Source organism: Homo sapiens, chromosome 12, assembly GCF_000001405.40.
Source record: "Homo sapiens chromosome 12, GRCh38.p14 Primary Assembly".
Classification (NCBI taxonomy): domain Eukaryota; kingdom Metazoa; phylum Chordata; class Mammalia; order Primates; family Hominidae; genus Homo; species Homo sapiens.
Window position 1 is genome coordinate 103,367,915 of NC_000012.12, and position 24,085 is coordinate 103,391,999.

The 24,085-nt window shown below is 38.8% G+C and overlaps 1 protein-coding gene across 43 annotated transcripts in view; it reads right to left on the minus strand.

Annotated features, from left to right (window-relative positions):
- The window catches only part of C12orf42 (chromosome 12 open reading frame 42), a 516,167-nt gene that overhangs the window by 320,291 nt on the left and 171,791 nt on the right, over positions 1-24,085 (minus strand). For 36 of the 43 annotated variants that reach the window (XR_001748690.2, NR_170332.1, NR_170337.1 and 33 more), the window contains one exon: positions 973-1,084. The exons of 1 other annotated variant lie outside the window; for it this stretch is intronic. Coding sequence is in view for 29 of the 42 variants with exons in the window: in NM_001386867.1 (NP_001373796.1) it covers positions 973-1,084 (112 nt within the window). In the remaining 13 variants the exon portion in view is untranslated. Of the gene's footprint in view, positions 1-97; positions 193-972; positions 1,085-10,793; positions 10,879-21,637; positions 22,023-24,085 lie in introns of all 43 variants that reach the window. 6 more of the 43 variants (NR_170336.1, XM_011538305.2, XM_017019279.2 and 3 more) reach the window with 3 other exon arrangements.

Genomic DNA, 24,085 nt, shown 5'->3' on the forward strand with positions numbered 1-24,085 from the left:
AATACATATGTAATGAATTTTATTAGCATATAAATATAAGTGAATGAATAAACACATTCAAAATAATGCGTTGTTCAAATGAAAATGTAGCAGTTACCTGCTTTATCAGTTGTCCTAAAAACTTCATTATCTCTTAGGTAGTAAATTGGACAGGCACATTTAAATATATCCTTTCAGGTCAGTGAAATGGTCCTAAAAATGGAGTTTATGGACAGTCGCAGGTTGTCAAAATCATCTATGGTGACAATGTTATGGGGAATATAACTAATACAATTATATATCTTTTGGGCTTGACACAAAATGATGTTCTTTTGCTTGTCCTGTATCAATTTATTTAGGGAAATCATCCTTCTACTATTCTCTCTCTTTATCTGCCTTTCTCTCTCTTTCTGTCTCTCTCTCTCACACACACACACACACACACACACACACATTTTGTGTAATTTAAGTGCAGCTGTCAATCAAGTGGCCTACCTCCCCTGCCACACAAGTAGCAAATGTTGACTGGTGTATTCCATTCTCCCAGCTACCTAGATTCCAGGGGTGAACATAAGACCAAAGTCTGGCCAATCAGAGCCATTGGATAAGCAGTAGAGACTGTTCTAGATGAATGAAAGAAGAGCGTTTCTGTACTTTTGAAATTACAAGCTCTAAGAATCGAATATGCCTATAGCTGCCAGGGCATGTTATTGCTATCCTTTTTGAAAACAAACCCAACTTAGTGAAGACAACGGGGAAATTAATAAAATGAAATTAATCATGATATTATTGGTGAACACTGGATCCAGCCATGCCCTAAGCCAGTCCATCTTTGGATTTACTAACTTCATGAGCCAATGAATTTCCTCTTTTGTTGCCATTTTGAAACATAGCACAACTGTTCTTCAATACAATCTTTATGATTATTACCTGTACATAGTCCAGAGTTTCTTTGGAAACTCTGGTCTGTCTTGGGATTATGTCTTAATTTACCTGGAAAATTCAGAAAGTGTAGACTACGAAATTTAGGAGATTCAGAGAAATTCTTCATGTGATTAATGAATCTGGAGCAGGGTACTGAAGTTCTTTCATAACAAGGGATGTGCTGTAAGATAGAGGAGAAAAATACACACAAAAAAATTAGGTCAATGGCTCCAGAATAATTCATGCCACCTAGCACTCTTACTTCCCTAAAGTGAGTGACATTTTAAAAATATTTTTGTTTCTTTATTCTTTAAATGAAACAATCCTGAAAACAATCACAGTTAACTCTAGTTACCTTTACATGCACATTCCTCTTATGTATTCATTAAAGAGGCTAATTAACTTAATTATTTGTTCTTTGAAAAAAATCTTATTCAGTTACACTATATGCTAGATATTATTCTAGACAGTGGGGATACAAGAGGAGAAGTCTCTGCCCTCACAAAATTGACATATTAGTGGAGAGTGACAAAAAAAAACAAATATATCTACAATAGATTGGATGGTGATTTTTCTATTGCTAAGATGAAAAACATAAAATAAGAGATACATTTTCATACAGGGTGATACATTTTCATACAGGGTGACATGAAAACAAAGATTCACAGGCTCAGATGGAGTAGCCATGTGAGATCTTGGTTGAGAGTCATTCCAAGCACTGGGAACAGCCAGTGTGTGAAAGAATGGAGAGGCAGGGGATAGGGAAGGGGGTCAGAAGGTGGGGGAGAGGAGGCTCTTAAATCAAGCTTTGTCACCTTGAAATGGCAAAAACAGAAAATAAAGAGGAGAAAGAGCTACAAAGATATTGGATAAACAATATGAAATAAGGTCAAAAGTAAGGATCCAATTTGATTTAAATCAAAAACTATTCATTCTAAAACCTAAAACTATAAAAACCCAGAAAGATAACCTAGGCAATAGCATTCTGGACATAGGACTTGGCAAAGATTTCAAGAGAAAGACACCAAAAGCAATTGCAACAAAAACAAAAATTGACAAATGGGATCTAATTAAACTAAATAGCTTCTACACAGTAAAAGAAACTATCAACAGAGTAAACAGACAACCTACAGAAAAGGAGAAAGTATTTGCAAACTATGCTTCCAACAATGGTCTAATACCCAGAATCTATGAGGAACTGAAACAAATTTACAAGCAAAAAACAAACAACACCATTACAAAGTGGACAAAGGACCTGAACAGAAACTTTTCAAAATAAGACATACATGTGGCCAACAAGCAAATGAAAAAATGCTCAACATCACTAATCATTAGAGAAATGCAAATCAAAACCACAATGAAATACCATCTCGCACCAGTTAGAATGGCTATTACTAAATGTCAAAGAATAACAGATGCAAGATTGCAGAGAAAAGGGAACACTTATACACTGCTGGTGGGAGTGTAATTTAGTTCAGCCATTGTGGAAAGCAGTATGGCACTTTCTCAAAGAACTTAAAATAGAATTATCATTTGATCCAGCAATCACATTATTAGATATATATACCCCCAAAGGAATATAAATCATTCTAACATAAAGATACATGCACATGTGTCTTCCTTGCAGCACTATTCACAATAGCAAAGACATGGAGTCAACCCAAATGCCTATCAATGTTGGACTGGATAAAGAAAATGTGGTACATATACACCGTGGAATACTATGCAGCCATAAAAAAGAATGAGATCATGTTTTTTGCACCAATATGGATGAAGCCGGAGGCCATTATCTGAAGCAAACTAACACAGAAACAGAAGCCTAAATACCACATGTTCTCACTTATAAGTGGAAGCTAAAAACAAAAAAACATGGATACTAGAAGGGAAACAAGAGGCACTAGGGCCTACTTGAGGGTGGAGTGGAGGAGGAGGGAAAGAATCAGAAAAAATACCCTATGGGATACTATGCTTATTACCTGGTGAGGAAGTTGTCTGTACACCAAACCCCTGTGGTACACAGTTCACCATATAACAAACCTGCACTTGTACTCCTGAACTAAAATAAAAGTTAAAAATTAATAATATAAATAAATAAAAACCACTCATTAAACATGTAATCAGAACCAACTTCCCATTGGTTTGATGTGTAATTTTTATTGTTTGGATATGATTAGATACTATCAATTCAGATGATTTGGATATTGTATAGATTTGGATATTGGATATTAAAGTATGGATAGTACTATTTGGATATTGTGAATATTATGTGTTCAGGATAGCATTAACTTACTGAGTCTGTACAGGATCAAATCATCCCTGCATAAGCAATAGTATCCTACTGAAAGGGTAAGGTTTTCATCTTGTCACTTCATACGGCCTATCACTCACCCAACTCTACCCAACCCCTGAGGAAAAGGTTTGTGCCTCAAACCAGAAAAAAAGCTAAGTGGGAGGTTCCTAGGAGGGCACTGGAGTAGGAACTCTCTCTTTTCCATTACTGTGGATCAAGGAGGCAGAGACGGAAGCTTAAGAAGACACACACCTCTTAAATGGCAAGAGGCAGCTGGGACTTGAGAGACCCAATCCAGTTGTACCAGTCATGGAGCATGGGAGATTAACTAAGGAAGGGTCAGAAACCCCTTCTTTATAAGACTTTTTTGCTGCTAGCATTTTCTTTCTTTATATTTGCTTGATATTGAGTAAAGTCTTTCTTAAAAATCATCACAGATGAGCTAAAATAAGTGAAAGGGAGAGAATTTCTACCATTTTAAAGAGAGAGGAGTACCACAGGAACAGCAGCGATTCCAAGAGAGGGCTTGAGAGAAAGTGAGACAAAAATTTTTTTCCTGACTTGGTTAGAGCCACTGCCCATCTGGACAGCATGTGTGCATGGGCAATCTTGGAGGTGACAATTCAGAGCAGGGGTTATAAAATCATGTAGGCCCACATCCAAGTCTCATCTCCACATCCTGATCTCTATACAAGCTAGGGCAACTTACCTTCTCTATTCCTGTTTTTACCTTTACAAAATGGGGCTAATGCTATCCCGCAACAACTATTACCCCAATTTTACAGATGAAAAACTAAGTAACTTATCAAAGTTACAGAAGTAGTAAGTATTGAAAGCAAGTCTCAAATCCACTCTTTCTTACTCTGAAGCCCATGTTTTTAACCCCATTCCATACTGCTTCCACATTTTAGAGTAAGCACAGCCAGCAATATAAGTGTCCAAAAGAGAAACTAGAAGATCACCCTGGCCTCCACTTCCTCACTTATCCCTCAGATCTATGCACAGCCGTTTCCTGTCAACCTCACCCTCTCAATGTCCTCCAGTCCCATTCCCTCCTCTGCAGTCCTCTGCCACCTATTAGCATCTTCATCCACATCCCTGCTTGCAGTTCACCTCCGTTGAATTCTCTTTCTCACATTATCTTTCTAAATCCCAAGTTTAAATATGGCACTGGCCTTCTTAATAGTGTTCATTGATTTCCCACCATTTAAACAGTGGTTCTCAAACTGCATCATGCATAAAAATCACCTGGTGAACATGTTAAAATGCAAATTTTGATTCACATATGTCTAAGGGGATAAGCCTAGGGATGTGCACTCTTAGCAGTCATCCCGGGTGACTGATACAAATGATCAACTTCTTATTTCTCCAAGTGTGGCTCAGGACCCAGCATCACCAACGTTACCTGGGAGCTTGTTAGTTATGAAGATTCTCTGGCCTCACCCTAAAACCTGCTGGATCAGGATCTGAATTTTAACAAATCCCCAGCCCATCACACTCTGACCTAAAGAACCAAACACAAAGTCCTTTCTATGGTATAGGAGGCTGGTCATGACCCACCATCTTTTTATCTCTTGCCCTCAACCCCATCTCACAGGACTCTCTCCTCTGTGATCCAAGTATGACAAAGTAGGAAAACTGAGGCACCAAAAAGCTAAGGCAGTGAGTCTCGTCTTCTTCATATTGGTCAGCCCAGTGCCTAGCACAGTCCCTAATACATGAGTCATGTTGATTCATTGATACATTTTGAATTTAACTGAATGGAATTAATTTATGTTTTAAAACAAATTTTGAAATGCAGTATTATATTCAAACTGCACCTTTCATCAAGGTATGATTTACTGAAGTGAAAAAGAATGAATGAAGACAAACACAGTCCATATCATGGACCAGATGCATTTTGCTTCTTAAAACACCTTACATTTCTTCATTGGGCAGGGGAGATGGGTACTGATTCCTCTCTGGGAAGACACTGTGGCTTTTAGTTGATTCACTGCCTGAAGTCAAACCCATGCTCTATATATGAAAGCACAACCCCCACCTTTTTTCTTTTAAGATGTGCAAACTTTCACCACAAAGATACAAGAACAGTAAATATTGATCTTCTTGATGGATGGCGCACCTCACGCCACAGGCCACTCAAGCATCTGCTCATTACCACCAGCCCTCCCCTTTGTTGGGAAATAATGCCAAGTGGCCTCGTGTGCTATCGGCTGTAGATTGCAAATATTTAAAAGAAATAAATTTCTCTGAATGAAAAGCACCTTTCTTTGTTATCTAACCCCTCTCCTCCCAAGTCATGTTGATTTTGGGGCTGTGCACACTCCCAGCACCTGTACTTTTCAATTGTTTGCCTGCCAAGAACACTGTGGTTTTCTTGCTTGGTTTTAGAAGCCATTCTAAGTACAGTAGCCAATGAAGGCATATTTTCTTTCTCTCTTGGCAATATGTAAAGGAAGTTTCAACTTTAGGACACCTAGCAGCAACTGTAATTAGAGGACAAGGAAAGAAATTGGAGTTTCTCCATCTCAGTATTCGTCCCACATGATCATGAAAAATGTACCACCACTGCAGACCAAAACCAAAAGTGTAGGTTTCTTCAACAGCCTTATTATTTGGCAGAAAGTTTTCTAAATTGGTTTTGCTGAAATCCAGAATCATTCTTTAGTGGAAAAGTAAGATCTGGACAATAAGATAAGAATGGAATTTCAGCAAGTGGAAAATCAATTTGTGATTGAGAATAGCCACTAGGTATACAAATCCAAGTGTCTAAATATATAAATGTTGGATCAAACTATTATTTCCTCTACATGGAGCATTATCAATTTGATATGGTATCATCATGCCCTGTGTGATTTTAATCATGGCTCTTAATCTCTTACCACTGAGGCATATGCAATGCAGTGTTAAGGTGAAATAACCTACTGCCAAGTATTGTGATCTGGTCAATGCTGATGGCAATCTGGGTCTGGAGACAAATGATGTGTGTGTAAGCCTTTAGTCACTCTCTTACACTAAGCTGAATTCTAATTCAAAGGGAATGCTGCAACCTCTATTACCGCCACCAATTTTTTTCACTTTTGTCACTTTTCATTTCCCTACATACTTTTATTCTACTTTCATGAATGAGTATTTGGGGATTTACTCTTCCCCAGTTCTTGATCCATATAGTTTGGACAAAGCAAATGCCCAGATCTGAGCACATCACATTCCATTGGCTGCTTGGATTGGAGTTCAGAACCAGCGAGATATAATGGGATATTTTGAGATTTCCAAGATTGAGGTTTGATTGTGAGGATGGTAGAGTCTGTGGCTGCTGCAGCTATTTCACCAGCATGAGGCAAGCATCTCTTGGCTTTGAATTACTTCTCTGGTAAGCTAGCTTGAGCTGGATAAGCTGTAATTTCTTGCCTGTTCTGCCTGGTGTCAAGAGATCTGTATTTGTGAGATGAGGGTTCAAAATGTAGTCTGTGTTTATGGAAGTTTATTTCACTCTAGGTCAGGGGTGTCCAATCTTGGGCCACACACAAAATACGCCAACACACAAAATAACCAATGAGAAAACACACACACACACACAAAATCTCATAATATTTTAAGAAAGTTGATGAATTTGTGTTGAGCCACATTCAAAGCTGTCCTGGGCTGCATGTGGCCCATGCTGCATCCTGGGCCATGTGTGGCTTGCTCCTGGTTGCTCTCGTTCAACCTAGAGCAAGCAGGTTGGACAAGCTTTCTCTAGATAAAACTGACCAGTTCTGATAAAGATGATTCTGATAAGGACAATGCTCACTTTGTCTTAGTTGGCATCAATCTCCAAACAAACAGTTAAGCCAAAATATTCTAGGTAATTTACGTATTCCAGAAATGAAAGAGATGATATTTGCTACAACTTACAACCCTTACAACTAAAATGAAGTATTTTGTTGCTGCCAATGTAAGTAGTAAGCCATGGAGTAATGAGCTGAAGTGACTCTCTCTCTATTTGCACTGGATTAGCAAGACCTCCATGGAATTGCTTTAAATTACATATAAATCATAAAGCCACTTTCCGTTTCTTGTAAGACTTGAAAATTATAGGAAATGTCAGGAGAAACATAAAAATGACATTTAATAAATTTAAATTTAAAATCAGAGTTATCCAAGACCGATTTGAATGAAAATTTAAATCTTTTTAGAAAAATTATTCTGTAAGAATCTTCAGCTCTAGATGTACTAAAATTTACATTTCAGAATAATTTATCAGAAATGTATCCCAGTGTTGTTGGAGTCTGTAAAATACTCAACAGTTTTAGGGACAGTTGTATCAGTAAAAAGATTCTTCTCAAAGTAAAAATTATCAAAAATGATTTGCAATCTTAAAGATGAAATTGTTAAAAGTATAACTTATAATGACCTAGTAAAGGAATGTGCAGAAAGCAAGCCCCAAAAAACGGCTTATGATCAATTAGGATATCACATAGCAACATATTATTATTTATTGCATCATAGAAAATTATGACACCAAAATATTAATTTGTTCAGCTTGTAGGTTCAGATTGTCATTCGTGTATTGCTATTACCCCATTATATTTTATAATTAATAACATAGTTATAAAGAAAAAAGTTTTATATTTTAGTATTATTAACTACCCTTTCTTCTGCTTTCATTTTACACTGGGCTCCACAAATTATGTAGCTTGCCCTGACTGTCTCTATACAATTTTTAAGGCTAAGCCTTACATTCTCATAGTCAAATGGACAAGGTCAAAGGCTGTCAGCCAGATGAAGGAATTCTGTATTTCTCACTCATGACATTTGGAGGTGGCCCTTCTCCTAACCTGCAAGATCACTTCCTACCAAAGCTTAAAATCTGAGACCAAAATCTTGCCACTTGGAAAGAAAATAATATCTACCATCTACTGAGTGTATTCAATTGGCCATATATTGCCTCAAGTTAGACAGAAGATTGTTTATACAAGTGCACATACATTTTTGAAAATTTCCGTCTTACTTACACACACGTTTAGTGCAGCACTCTTTACAATAGCAAAGACTTGGAACCAACCAAAATGCCCATCAATGATAGCCTGAATAAAGAAAATGTGGCACATATATACTACGGAATAATATGCAGACAAAAAATAATGAGTTTGTGCCCTTTGCAGGGACATGGATGAAGCTGGAAGCCATCGTTCTCAGCAAACTAAAACAGGAAAAGAAAACCAAACACCGCATGTTCTCACTCATAAGAGTGGGAGTTGAACAATGAAAACACACGGACGCAGGGAGGGGAACATCACACACCAGGGCCTGTCGAGGGGTGGGGGGCAAGGGGAAAGAGAGCATTAGGACAAATACCTAACGCACACGGGGCTTAAAACCTAGATGATAGGTTGACAGGTGCAGCAAACCACCATGGCACATGTATACCTATGTAACAAACCTGCACATTCTGTACATGTATCCCAGAACTTAAAATAATAATTAAAAAAAGAAAATTTCCCTGTCTTTTAGCATCAAAAGCTGGTGTAGTCTGATACCATTATGTTCCTTTGTTTGTGAGCTATCTGGGAGATGTTTGTTTTATTTGTATTCTTTGTTCTTACATCTCTGAAAACTTTTATGATCTCTTTGTCACTATTGAAATAACATTATAACAAAGTGTCTTAGTGTGGGTTTTCTTTCATTATACTGGGCACTCGAGCAAGCCATATCAATCTGGAAATTCCTGCCTTGCAATTCTATAAATATTTTTTCTTTTTTAGGAATAATTTTCTCCCCTCTGTGTTCTCATTCTCTCTCTCTCTCTCACTCTCTCGCTCTCTTGCTCTCTCCCCTCTCTCTCCTTCCATTTTTAAAGCTTTTTCTTTCTACTTTCTAAGGGCTTCCTTTAACTTATCTTTTCACTCTTATGCTGCTCTTTTTAAAAATCTTGGTTTTCACACATTTAATTCCTGTCTATTTCTTCTTGTTGCTGTCACTTTTTAAAATATGGCATCCTGTTCTTATTTAATGGATGTTCTCTCTTCCCTTATTCCTGAGTATTTTGATCTTAGGGTCTGGGCTTGCCTTAGTAGTGTTAGATTTGTGTTCATATTGTTTGGTTCCCTGTGTAGTTTCAGTGTCTTCTGAGCTTCTCTCTTCTGCTTGTTTTCATTTATCTTATGTTAAAAGCCTTCCTCAAGGATCCTTCAGAGCCTTGACTGTCATTCATATTTAACAATAAGGCACTGAAAGGCTGACTGCAGCTCTGGATTCACTCAGTCAGGGCTTATGACCAGTGGACTTCCCTGAAGCATGATGGGGCAGCCAGCCTACCTTTCCAATGACAGGTCCCTCACCGTCAGAATGGGAAAGGCTTTCCCCTGGTATGTCCTCCAAACACCAGCCCAAGAATGTATTTACCAGACCGGTAACATTCTGGGTAGAGAGCAGGAGGAAAGGGCCCGAGTGTCCCACAGGCCACTATATAAAACTTCAAGAAACCCCCACTTGGAATCCCCACCTCATCCCCGAGCTGGGAGTCCTTCTGGCCTAATTTTGCCAGATAATAAATCTTTGGCCCAACTCTGCAGGGTGAGCCAAGAGGAAATAGAACTCTGCATCCAGCCCCTCACCAGGCCCCTGTTCTAAGCCCTGTGTGCACTCCCTGGTTTAGAAGATATGGAGAACCTTCAGGACCCAGGTTTTTCTGGGGGGTAGCATGAATTGACTCACTTCTCCTCATCAGGCCCCTGTGTAGACTGAAGTTGGGAGTCACTTCATTCTGTTAACTCAGTTATCACTTTTTAACCAACTTCACAGCTTTCCAAAAATTGTTGAAATTCCTCACCTAGCATAGTCTTCTCTCTTTGTCTTTATCCTTGTGTGTGAATGCATTTTGTTTTAAAGCAGGGCGTTTCAATCTTTCAAAATCATGTGACATTAAAAATGGATAATAGTTGTAGGGAATGCTGGGGTAAATGGAAGAAGCTACTCAAAGCCAGGGGGAACTAGCCTGAGCTGACCTGGCTATTCCAGCTCCTACACAACCACCAAAAGGACTCAATAAATTTATATTTCTGCCCACATGCAACCTATTTGCAGCATACCATTCAGAGGCTCTGTTTCACCACTAATTTTACAGAGTTTAGGGAAGGGGATATAAATAAGTATGGCCAGTCTACCATGTTTGACCAGATACCCTCACTGCTCACTCGTCTACACTGTCTAGATTTGGATGATTTTTTTTGTCCTGTGGCTTTCCATCTCGCGGTCCTGGAGTATCCATCCAGCTTCTTCAAAAGGCACCCTCCCAATTCTTTTTACCAGGATCACCATAGGCACCAACTTGTCTCTATGATTATTCTCCCTGAAAGTAGTAATGGCCATGCTTCTTGCCTCACTATCCCCATCCAAGGCAAATCCTGGACCCCATGAGGAATCACTTAAGTTGCAGGTACCTGGACCTCAGACACATTCAGCCTGGTCTCCGGTCACTGGAGAGAGAGGGGATTCTACCTCAGCCAATGAAACAGAATTGTGATAAAGACAAAGGGAATAATCTAAAAGTAGCTAACACACGGCTTGGCAGAGCAGTATAACATATGCTCTAGATTATGGGATTTGGAATTCGTACCTGAGTTGGAATCCTGCCTCTACCATTTACTGGCTATGTGATCCCAGGAAAATTACTTCACCTCCCTAAGCTTCAATAGCTTGATCTGGAAAATGAGATTTAAGAGTAACAATTGTTGCTGTGAATGTTTAAGTGAAAAAGCAACCACAAAGTGCCTAGCACAGAAGTGGAAAGCAAATGAATGGAAAGAAAATATCAATGAAAATTGAAAGGGAAAAGATAATGTTTGCAAATGAAGAAAAGATAGGGTTTTAAAAAAATTAAACAGTGAATGAAAAAGGTGAAGACTACGGTTTACACACACACACACATAGACACTTAGGTCTCCACCACCCACAGAGAAGAAGGAGATACGTAGATATATAGATATAAATATAGACAAAAATCACAATTCTCAATATCATCTGAGGTTTTATATGTGATCACGGTTCTAGAAATCAGCTTTCTGAAGTTGTTTTCCAGGGGAAGCACAAAGTTACTATCTCCACTTAGTTATTAATTATCCACCCCAATGGGAACAGGCATCCTCACCTATTGTTAGCTTTCTCTTTACAAGAGCATAAATAAAAATACAACTGATGTCCCATCTCATTATCTGCCTCCCTCAGACACCAGCCCACACATTATTCTATGCTGCAAAAAGAGCTCAGTGTGAATATTTGAGAATGATACATTGAAGATGCATATGGATACAAGGCCAGACCATCACACGCTTCTAACTATGTGCTCTAAGGTGTCAAAGGAAAAAAAAATACTAACTTGGGAGGAAATGTAAAATAGATCAACATCTCCTTGACAGCTATTGATAGATATATTACTAGACCTAAAGATGTTGCTTCTTAAGAAAACATAAATTCAAGTTCCTTCCAGGTTCTCTGTAGCGATGGGGTTTGGATCGTGCTTGGACAAAGGAATCATAATTCAATTATCCAATGATTTATTACAATACACTTTGCCCACACTGGATATTTGGATGTGTAAACATCAGAGTATTACCCTCCCTTCCATCCCAGGCTTCGCATTTCAGATTTCATTAGCCAATAAAGCCAGGTTTATTTATAATAAAGTTAAGCCCTTCAAACCACTGACCATGGAAACCAGATTTTGAAATAATTCAGATTTGTGTTTCTGTTCTTTCTAATTAAGGGTAATATCGGGAAGCACAGACAGTGGGTAGCATTGTTCGAGCACCATGGATTTAAGCAAGAAAATCTGATTATCAGCTCATGTCAGAAGCCAAGCGATAATGCAGCTTAGCATTGGTTTGGGCTTTTTCTTTAGCCAAAAGATAATTACCGTTAGTGAGGCCTTACGTAAGTGTATCTAATATCTAAGGCCCTAAAATTTATGAATAGCAAAAGCACACAATAGGCAAAGAAGAATTACTGTATTTATTATTTCTATGGCTTGTTCCACCATGATAATTTCATTATCTAGTAAAGTTGAACCTCTAAAATCAAAGTATAATTTCTTAAAGGACAAGAAGTTAAATATGCTGGCAAGGTTTTTGGCCTGACTTCCTCCAGTGAAAGTTATTTCTAACAAATAAGAAGTAGACCAACCAGAATTTTCATAGAAAATTTACTAAAGGAGACTCAAAGTTACCTATTGAGGTCACTGCATAAACAGATGTTAAGCTTCTGTGAGATTTTTTTTTTGTAAACTGTTATTTCTCAATCTTATGCTGCAGGAAAAATCTGAAATTTGAAAAGCACTTCTTGGCAAAAGCAGGATGGCGTCAGAGTGCTCATTGCTGAATACAAGTAATGTCGGTAAGTATCATAAAGAATAAATGCTGGAAACCCAGAGTGGGGAAATTATTTAAACGAGGAATTAGAACTTTGTTGTATAAAACCAAATCTAATTATGAGGATGAATAAAATCAAGTTGTAAAATTTGCAAGGTAAGTTAGCTGAGATTCTCCAAACCATAAAGAAGCAACTGCTCTTGAAAGAGAAAAATAGCATTATTTTCCTTAAGTATATGTTTTATTTAAAAGTACATTTTATTTTCTTGCTTATTATAAACTAACAGCAACTAACATGTTATTGAGTACCTGCTACAGACCAGGCACTGTTCTAAACACTTTAGACATTTTTAATTCATCAAATCCTCACAATAACCTTAAGAAATCAGTACTTTATTATCCCCATCCTACAGATGTGGAAAATGAGTGACAGAGTGGTTAAATAACTTGTCCATCTGGCTCCCATCACTCCAAATTGTATATATAGGGTACCTGATATTCATCCTTGTAATCTGAATTGGTTCTATCTCTCAAATTTCTAACCTCTAGTACAAATAATTTTTCCCCTCTGGGTTCTCAGAAAACTTATTTTCTGTGATATGTCTCGAGCTGCTTGTATTACAGAAATACTCATTCTGACACTATCCTGAAGCAAAAGGAAATGTATTAGGACTCGTCAGAGTAGTTACACTGCTGGCTCAGGCACTAACAACTCCCCAACATTGAGCAAATCACTAAACTGAACACTAGTCAAACAGGAACAATGTTCCCTTCCCTTCCTACTTCTCATGGTTCTTAAGACAGTATGGAGAATCCAAAAGATCTTAGAGAAGTATGGAATGTTCTATAGAGCTGAGCACATTGACAGGTTAATGCAATTGTCAAAGGATGCAAGCACAGGGTGAAGGCGTCCCAAGCAAAGCTCTTAGAATCAGTAATTAGCACACTCCCCACCTTTCCGTACTCTTCTCTTGAGCTCTTACTTGTAGCTGAGGTTTATTTGAGGGAGGGAAAAGAAAGGGGAAAACATTGTTGATGATGACAACAACAACAGCAATAATAAATAGGTGTACTCATCAGCACTCAGAAGCAATGTGTGCAGTGAACCAAAGCACAGACGCTGGAGCTAGACTGCCCAGATTGGATCCTGGATCTGGCACTTGGGCAAATTGCTTTATCTTGGGCCGGGTTGGTGGCTCACGCCTGTAACCCCGGAACTTTGGGAGGCCGAGGCAGGCGGATCATGAGGTCAGGAGATCGAGACCATCCTGGCTAACATGGTGAAACCCCGTCTCTACTAAAAATATAAAAAATTAGCCAGGCATGGTGGTGGGTGCTTTTAGTCCCAGCTACTCGGGAGGCTGAGGCAGGAGAATGGCATGAACCTGGGAGGCGGATCTTGCAGTGAGCCAAGATCACGCCACTGCACTCCAACCTGGGCAACAGAGTGAGACTCCGTCTCAAAAAAAAAAAAAATTTGCTTTCTCTTTCTCTGCCTCAGTCTCCTCATCTGTACAGTGAAGATAATAATAGTCTCTACTTGATTGGATAGTTATGACAATTAAATGACAATATTCATAGAGAATTTTAGAGAATTTAGAGTAGCCTGACAGAATCACCACTAAATATATACAATTGAGAACTGTGAGTAGCAGGTGCCACCAATCCATTGGTTATTGTACTAGCAAAGTAAAAGATGGAATCATGGCTTTTTTTTGTTTCTATTTTCTATCCTCATGAAAAATTAGTAATTCTCTTTCTACTTTGGCCAAATGACTAGAATAGAAAATTGTGCTTCACAATTTCTATGGCTGATTTCATCTACTTCCGATTGCTTTTATATTTTAGTAACAAAATGTCCACGTCAGCATTGTAGAACCATGTTAGATTATTAGGACTTTGGAGATTCATGGAGATTATGTTTACAAAGATGCTAAGGCAATAGTAGCAGAAGACTAAAGAGTCAAGTCAGTAGCAGACACAAAGCAGAAAAAAGTAGAGCAGATGAGCAGTGTATTTCCTGCCCCAAAACCCCTGGCCTTAGCCCATATGCTTTTGCTTTGACCCTAATGAGATCTACTAAAGAAGAAGACCAAATATAGTAGAAATAGATGTACATCTCCATGGCACTGAGCTAGATGTTTAAATCAACGCACCAAATGCTTGCTACAATACCATGAAATAAAGAGCACGGTGCCTATTTCACAGGTGCAGAAATTATAGCTGAGAGCAGGTGGCTAAACTTGCTAAAGGACAGTTAATCATTCCCCTGCTTCTTCCTACCTTTCTTTCTCTTCCATCCCAAAAAGCTGTCTCTTCAAAATTCAATCTATTCTAGTTCTAGTCTTTCCCCTCTTTTCTCCTACCTTTCCTATATGTTTATCTTTTTCCTCAGTCACTTCAGTTCACTCCAAAATCACTAACCTTTCTAGAGTTCTTTCACTTCTTCTCTATACCCATCACTGATTAACCCAACAAACCAACCTGGCATGGCTGGCCCAAGCAGCAAAGACACTTTGCTCTTCAAAGACCAGTCAAGATCAGAAGAGGTCAAGATCAGGAATATGCACCTGTACATTGTCCTTGTCACAATATGATACTTACTGCCTGTGCCATGTTTCTTATATGTATAAATTTGCTCTTCAGGATATAGTGTTCTGACTCATTCTTTTTTTTTTTTTCTTTTTTTGAGATGGAGTCTTGCTCTGTTGCCCAGGCTGGAGTGCATTGGTGCAATCTTGGCTCATTGCAATTCTCTTGCCTCAGCCACTCGAGTAGCTGAGATTACAGGTGCCTGCCACCATGCTTGGCTAATTTTTTTGTATTTTTAGTAGAGACAGGGTTTCACCATGTTAGTCAGGCTGGTCTCCAACTCCTGACCTCAGGTGATCCACCTATTTTGGCCTCCCAAAGTGCTGGGATTACAGGCTTGAGCCACTGCGCCTGGCCTCATTCTTTTTAAAAGGGCATAGTATTCTATAATATTAAGAATGCATTGAAACAATCCCCAGCTGTTAAATATATAGGTTGCTTCTGGTTTATTACTATCATAAAGAATGGTGCAATGAATAAACCTTGTACATGTATCTCTGTACATGTGAGAGAGTATAAATGCACTCTTGGCAAAAATTGATTTGTGTTTCTCTGGCTCACCATCATATAATAACAACTAATACACATTTTTGAAAATCAGTGAATAAGTAAGCAAATAACTGGGAGTATGGCAATAAACCATAGCCAACATAAATGACATAGCAGTTCAGCCTGCATTACAGAAGTTCGCCTATACTTAACCACTCTTGAATTCAACTTTCCTTGCCTATAAAATAACAAAGTATTTTGAAAAACTGTTGAAAGTACTAAAATGAGATAATACCAATAAGGTGCCTAGTCCAGAGCAATGTAAGCTATCATGATTGGGCTAAAATCACCCATCCATGTAAATTGTTTAAATAAGCAGAGCCTAGGTGCTGTCATCATATCATGGACAAGGAAAATCACCCGAAGTGTGTGAGAGCCACAGGGCAGAAAGAACTGTCTCAAGCCCAGAGCAGTGGTTACAGGGATGCAGTGGGTAGATTTTCATGACTCCAGCGTTTTGAATGGTATTCATAGCACTATTCAAAGTGTTGTTATTTGTCTTGATCTTCCAATGACAACTTCAAAAATTAATTTTACAAGTACATAATTTCTTCTTCTTAAAAAAACTGTAATAGCAGCTATGTAAGCACTGAGGAATTTATATGTCATCATAAGCAAAAGATATTTATTAAATGACTGCTTACATGCTAAGCGACATTCAAAAAAAAAGTGGGGGGTGCTCCTGACCCTAGGAGAAACAAAAAGGCAACTAAATATGGTGAAAAGAACACTGGAGCCACCTACGTCTGAGTTTAAAGCCCAGCATTCATTCAACACAATTCAAGTGGTTTGTATACCAGGCACTACATTAAGCGGTGGGTGAACTAATCTACCATACTGTCACTTAAAAGATATTTAACCTTATCAAGTGATTTAGCTTATCTTCGTCTAGGGTGAAGTACCAGCTTCATAATCTTTTTATAAAGGTAACACATGTAAAATACACAGCAGTATTAAGTAAATGGTGGTTTCTCCCACTCCTTCTTGACTGAGGGCTAACCATTCAAGACAGGACACAAACATCAAAACATTAACATGCATACATCAAAGAAAGCATGAACCAATCAGAGACTAAAGAGCAGAATAGTTACATCCAATCAAGTCAAGGAATTACACAGTTATCCCAGAGCTAGAACATGCACAGAACATAGCACACAATAGGTATTCAAAGATGTCTATTGACTGGATATAGTGAATCAAGAATTCAAACAATTAGAGCCTCAGGGTTAACAGGAGGCCATGTAACACACTGGGAAGAGTTCAGACATAAAAATTAGGAGACCTAGGTTCGTGTCTGAAGTGTCTGAACCACCAGCCGAATTTTCTTGAGCAAATCATGCAAATCATGGTCGTCTGTAGCCTCAGTCTTCTCATCTGGGAAGCTAGAGGGTTGGGGTACATCTTTACTAAGTACCAATAATTTCAGGTAAAAATGCTCGTCAAGCCTCCACTTTGTATTTTATTTGCTCAGTCTGAAATTGAACTGCATACAGTTTGTCCCAAAACCCAGAGACGGTTTGAAACCCCCAAATTGGTGGACTTGATCAATACATCCACGTTTCATTTTTTTACCCTAAAATATAGTGTATAGACTACTAAGTTAAGAAACACTATTGCTGAAAAAAGAAATATTCCATTTTAAAATCCAAAGACTAAAAATTAACCAGTCACTTCATGTTTTTAGCAAACATACTTACCATTGTGTGGGGTTTTATTGTCCCCTTGGTGAATAGAAATCTTTAAAAATGTATACGCCTGGAACTGAATACCGTGTCAAATCTATTGGCACTGCATGTTTAAACACCTGCATCTCATCACCAGCCCTTCATAATATTGTTAAACAATAATTATACTTATGATGAGTAATGAATCCAGATATGGTCTTCCTTGAGATGTACTTATTCTTGTGTTAAAAGTAACCCATTAGTAGCATATGAAAGCTTCGCAGGTAAAACAGAATTCACAAATACATCCATATAATAATAATGTTTTTAAATGGTAATAAATTGCAATGATATTCTCTTCTTTATTGGAGAATCTCACCTTATTTTTCTGAGAATGATCCATTTTTGTTTACCACAATTCTAAATTTCACTTGCCCAATCAGATTTATATCTTAAAAATAAAAGTTTTACTTTGAAATTTGACCCAAGTTTAATTTTGATTTTTTTCATACTTGTAAGGAGAATGGTAACTTGAGACAAAGGCTAAATTGCCATGGAAGCTACCCTCACACTTTGCTTAAAATCAACCTTTGGTGATGGATATAAAGAGAACCTCAAAGGAAATTATTCACCTACTTCCCAAACCAGAAAGACTATAGCATGCTGATCACTGTGATCAAAAAGGCTCAGCTTCATTAAAAAGAGACACAAATATAAACAACATTGGTCAAAGGAAATAATAGTAACAGCTAGCATGCCTGGCAGCACGGTTCTAGGCATTTCACATCTAACTCACTTGATTCCCACAACAACCGTATTAGGTTGGTGTTATTATTACCACATATGCAGATGAGAAAGCTGAGTTGCAGAAAGATAAGACATTTCTCAGAAAATCCCAGGACATAAATTGGCAAAGCCAGGATTTGAACTCAGGCTGTCTGATCCTAGGGTCTGTCTGCATAATCACTATCCTTAACCAATTATTCTGCTTGTGTTTGTCACACACTCAAGCAGTAGCCACCTCAAAGCTGGTACTAGCAGCCTCAGCATCACATTTGTAGGTGATGTGGAATACAGTTAAGAGCTCGGTGGCAGTTCCAACCTCTACTCCGGAACTGAACTGACCTTATCAGTACCCTTCTTGCTCTGATTCCCAGTTATCTCCAGCTGAATAACATGGACTTATCTCTGCTCTCCCAAAATGCTAACTCCTAAAACTCAACTGATCAATGTCACATCCACCATGGGAAAACGAATGACTCTGGTTAAGTGCTCAAAGTCCTCTACCACTGGCAGTCTTCCTGAAATCATTTTTAATGTAATCTTTTGATCTCAGGCATAGAGTTTATCACAAAAAAGATTATGCTACAGAGAGTTAGCATGATCCAAAATACAGCAACTGCTCTTGCAACATAGGATTGCTCTAAAGACTCAAAGCAGACTGCAATTGCACTCCCTTTCCCCAGTTGCTTTTGGTGCAGCTAGCTTTGAAGTGGTTGAACACTCATATGCATGTCGGACTGTTGACCGAGACTCCAAGTGCTAGACCTGGGAGGGCATCCTCAGGACCAGACAGGCTGCCCATGCACCTGAACCCCAATCTCTTGGGAAAAATCCCTAACCGCTAGCTCTTCCTCCACCTCCAAGAAGTTAGCATGGACAGTCCCGTTAAACCAAAGTCACATCCTGCAGCTCGCAGTTCACAGCCCTCCCACAGCTCCACATCCCATTCAAATCCCCAGTGCCTTCCTACCAGGCTGAACAGGATCTGGAACCGCTTTGACCATTTGTGAACACTTCTAGTGCGAAAGGGGAGCCTAGTAATAATTATTCTGGAACTTCAAGTATAAACCTGAATTGTCCTAAGTAAATATGGATGTACCCACGTACCTGTCACCTACTATCTTCCTTTCACCTGCTCTAGTCCAGCCCCTTTACTGTCCCTTCAATATCCCGGGCTTGCTATTGCCTCAAGATCTTTGCACTTGCTGTTCCCTCTCCCTGGACACACTTCCTCCAAATATCTTCATGACTTAATGCTTCATCTCCTTCACCTCTTTGCTAAATACTATTATTAGCTTCCAGTGACCACCATATTTTAAAAGTTACCACCCTACACACACACCCTCGTGCACACATGCACAGACATGCTCACGCTTACTCCCCTTGGGTTCTTTACAACCATCGAACTGCCATTTATTTTATTTATTCACTTTGTGTATTACCTGTCTTGTCCAGAACCTCTATATGTGATTGTTCAGTGCAAGCCTTGCCAAGGGGAAGAGGAGTGGGTTGGCCTCAAGCCAACATCCCTCTTGTCAACCAGGGATGGCGGTTGCATCATACAGGAGAAAGTGTCCTCTTCTACCCATTGTACATTTAAACAGAGGCTCCATATATCCTAGCAGTGGCTTGGTCTCTCCCTACTGGAATGTAAGCTCTAATACTGGAAACTATCTTTCGTCTTGCTCACTGTCTATCTCTAATACCGAGAACAATACCTAATATGTCAGAGGTACTCGAGAAATGTTTGTCAAATGAACAGATGAATGAAAACAAGACTGCGCTCTGCCATCATACCTTTTCAAAGTCCTGAGACGTCCCTCTCACTTTTCTAACTGATATTCCCTTCCCTTTCCTCTCTCTTTTTTTCTTTTTTAACACATTTAATGTTACTTTCTTAATCCAACTCAACTTGCAGTAAACAATTTATCTTAACACTGCAAGGTAACTTACAAGGTTTAAAATAATCTCTTTTTAGATAATTGCTCAGCCAATTCAGAATTTAAACCCAATTATTTCAAATGTTAAAGTCATTTTCAGAGTGTCCTCCACTCTTAAGTGTGCACCCTACTCTGCCCCTCCAGCGTGGAGCTTTGCAGGAGAAAAATTTTTCCTTGGTGCCAGAGAAGGGGGGGTGATAACTCTGAGTGCCATCTGCTAGGCCATTCCTGGCCTCTGGAGAGTCTCTTCCTGTCTGGCCTTTCTGCTTTGATCTCTCTCCCTGTTTTCTCCATAGCTGATGTAACAGGTCCCAACAGACCTCCAGATGGGTGGGGTCAGTGCCTAAACCCCAGGCTACTCCTGGGCCTGGCTCCTATAGCATTCCTACACCCCACTCTGCATCAAACTGGGAATTCTGGATCCCCTGCCCCATGCCGCTGTTAAGCTGTGGGGAAACTTGGGTGCTTGTCAAGTACACTCTCTTTCTCTCTCCCTCTTCCCCAACCTCTTCTTTCTCTCCTTGAAAATGGGATTCTACTGCATTTGTATTTGCAAAATGTTTATTCTTAAGATGAATGATGGGTACACAAGTTTGTTATAGTTTTCTCTAGACTTTTAGATGCCTGAAATATTTCACACACTCAGAATAAAAGGACATACTACCTTTTCTACTCTACTGCTCTTGCCTTATATTGATGAAGGTCTCCCCAAACTCCAAATGGAAATGAAGAGACACAACATGAATGATTATTGTATTCTCTCTGGCCCAGAGAACCTCCTAGACTTTAATAAGACATATGCATGGTTTTCTAGTCTTGGTCAAAACCTACAGTGTTCTCCCTGCTCTGCCTCCTCCGCCTCCTCCTCCTTCTCAGGCCAGAATAGAATAGGGTCATGCAGGCAGCCAGGGGTAGCCTTGGTTGGGACCAAAGATTCTGGGAAGACTGGTGGCCCAGGCTCCACATAAGCAAGCTTGGGTATGGGCTGTGCTTGCTTTCCAGCCCCTGGGGTTGAGTTTAGCCCATGGTCCAAATTGAGACAGATGACAGTTGTGCTTGGCAACTCAATCTGGAAAACCTGACCCATGCCAGGGGGAATGTTCCATCATCCCCAAATCCCTCTTACCAGAGCAGGAAATAGGGGCTCTTGAGAGAAACTGGTAAGGGAGGAAGATGACACCAGAGGGGCCATAGCCTTGAACTGTATAAAACAATATGGGGAATGGGTTGGGGGTGGGGGATTTAAGCATCCCCCCTACTCAGCAGGACTGAGAAGACTGCTACAGATTCCCATTTCTTTCTGTATTTAGGAGTAGAAAGTGGAATTTGACTATATGCAAAATATCATTAAAGAGTCAGATCCACAATGACTCTGTTCCCCATCGTGACATGTATCTTCTCAGGATCTGCTCTCCTCTGAGGAGGGAGGCCAAAGGAAAGGAGGAATAAATGAATCTTTTCCTTCTAGAAGTCAAATTTCAGGTGAATTGCTGCTTTATATTCTCTTTTCTACATATCTCTTATTGTGGTTCTGGAAGCATTTGATGTCTTTCTTCTGAATTCTGTTACCTTGATTGTCCAAGGACTTGTTAACCCGTTCCATCCTTCCCTTTCAATGAAAGAAAAATGTAAAAATTCCACTGTATGTTCCTCTTCCTTCTTCCCAGTATTTGATATTCATTCAACAAGCTACCCAATCAGTTTTGACGCAGAAAACGTTCTACTCAGGGTAGAAGGTCACAGGGGCAGGGGGCTCCTCAGTGCATCCATTGTCCATGAAGATATAGAGCCCAGAGAATTCACGAGGCTCAGTCTGATGCAGCTGGGCAGCATGCGTTGTGTCAGCGACTCTCCCAGTTTTCTCTGTTTTCATATCGCCTTGTACCTTAGATCTCTCTGGGGCCATTGTGCTCTTTCCTGAAACACAATCTTTGGAAACTCCTTTCATCATGGTCTGTTGGCAGAGAAATCTCTCAGTTTTTGCTTATCTTAGAATATCTTAATTTCACTTCTATTCTTGTAAGATCATTTTGCTAGGTACACAACACTAGATTGTTGTAACTCCCATTACATTAATGATGTTATTCCACTGTTGCCAGCCTCCATCATTGCTGCTGAAGGTTCTACTGTCTGATTTTTATTCCTCTGTATGTGATATAAGAGATCTGTCTTTCCTCCCTGCTCCCTTAGTCATGGTTGCATCCCCAGTATCTGGCACGAAATAATAATAGCTACCACTTATACAGCATTTAACTATGTTCCAGGCAAAGTTCTAAGCGTTTTACCTCATTTAATCTTTATTTTTAATTATGGTATAATATACAGAGCATACAATTTACTGCATTAACTATTTCTGAGTGTATAATTAACGGATATTACGTACATACACAATGCTCAATAATCATCACCACTATTTCCAGAACTTTTCATCATCCCAAACAGAAACTCTGCATCCATTAATCTATAACTCCCAATTATTACTTTCTCCCCAGCCCCTGGTAACCTCTATTCTACTTCCTCTCTTTATGAATTTGGCAATTCAAATACTACATGTGGTAATCAGGGTTCTCCAGAGAAACAGAACCGATAGGATATATATAGATAAGTAGAAACAGATTTAGTATAAGAAGTCCCTTGATCTGCTGTCTACAAGCTGGAGGCCCAGGAAAGCCAGTGGTATAGTTTCAGTTCAAACCCAGAGGTTTGAAAATCAAGCAAACCACTGGTGTAACTCCCAGTCCAAGTCCAAAGGCTTGAGAAACAGCAAGCCAATGTCCAAGCGCAAGAGATGACATCTTAGTTCAAGCAGAGTGAAAATTCATCTTTTTTCCACTCATTTGTTCTATGTAGGCTCATACAATAAACAATTTAGATGATGCCCACCCCCATTGATAAGGACAGATGATTTTTATTCAGTCTGCTGAGCAAAGAACAGCTAATGCTAATCTCTTTTAAAAATGTTCTCACTGACACATCCAGAAACAATGTTTAACCAGCTATCTGGATATCCCTTAGCCCAATCAAGTTGGCACAAAATGAACCATCACACTGCATATTAGTGGAAGTACATAATATTTGCTCTTTCGTGTCTGGTTTATTTTACTTGGCATAATATTTCCATGGTTCATCCACATTGTATCAAACTCCATTCCTTTTTATGATTGAATCATATTCGGTTTTATATATATATATATATTTATCCATTCACCTATTGATGGCACTGAGTTTTTGTTTTTAGCCATTGTGAATAATGCTGCTATGAACACTGGTATACAAGTATCCATTTCTCTGTTTTCGATTATTTAGGAATAAAATTGCTGAGTCATATGGTAATTCTATGTTTCACTTTCTGAGGAAACACCAAACTGTATTAACAACCGCTATACTATTTTACATTCCTACCAGCAATGCATGAGTTTCAATTTCTGCACATTTTTGCCAAAACATATCATTTTTCATTTTTTAAATAACAACCATTATGATGGGTATAAAGTGATACCTCATCGTGGTTTTGATTTACATTGCTCTAATGGTGTTGAACATCTTTTCATGTGCCTATTGGCCATTTGTACATCTTTCTTGGAGAAATTTCTTTTCAAGTCCTTTGCCCATTTTTTAATTGGGTTGGTCTTTTGTTGGTGATGATGACTTTTAATTCTTCATATATTCTGGATATTAACCATATATATCATATATACTAATCACATATAATTATATATATAATAGTATATATGATGTGTGTGTGTGTATATATATATGATTGATTTACAACTATTTTCTCCCATTTCTGTAAGTTGTCTGATCACTCTCCTGATAGTGGCTTTGATGCACAAAAAAAATTTAATTTTGATGAGGTCCAATTTATCTATATTTTCTTTTTTTACCTATGCTTTTGTGTCATATTTAAGAAACCATTACCAAATCTAAGGTCATGAATATTTTGCCTTATGTTTTCTTCTGAATTTTATAGCTTTAGCTCTTACATGTCTGTCTTTGATCTATATTGAGTTAATTTTT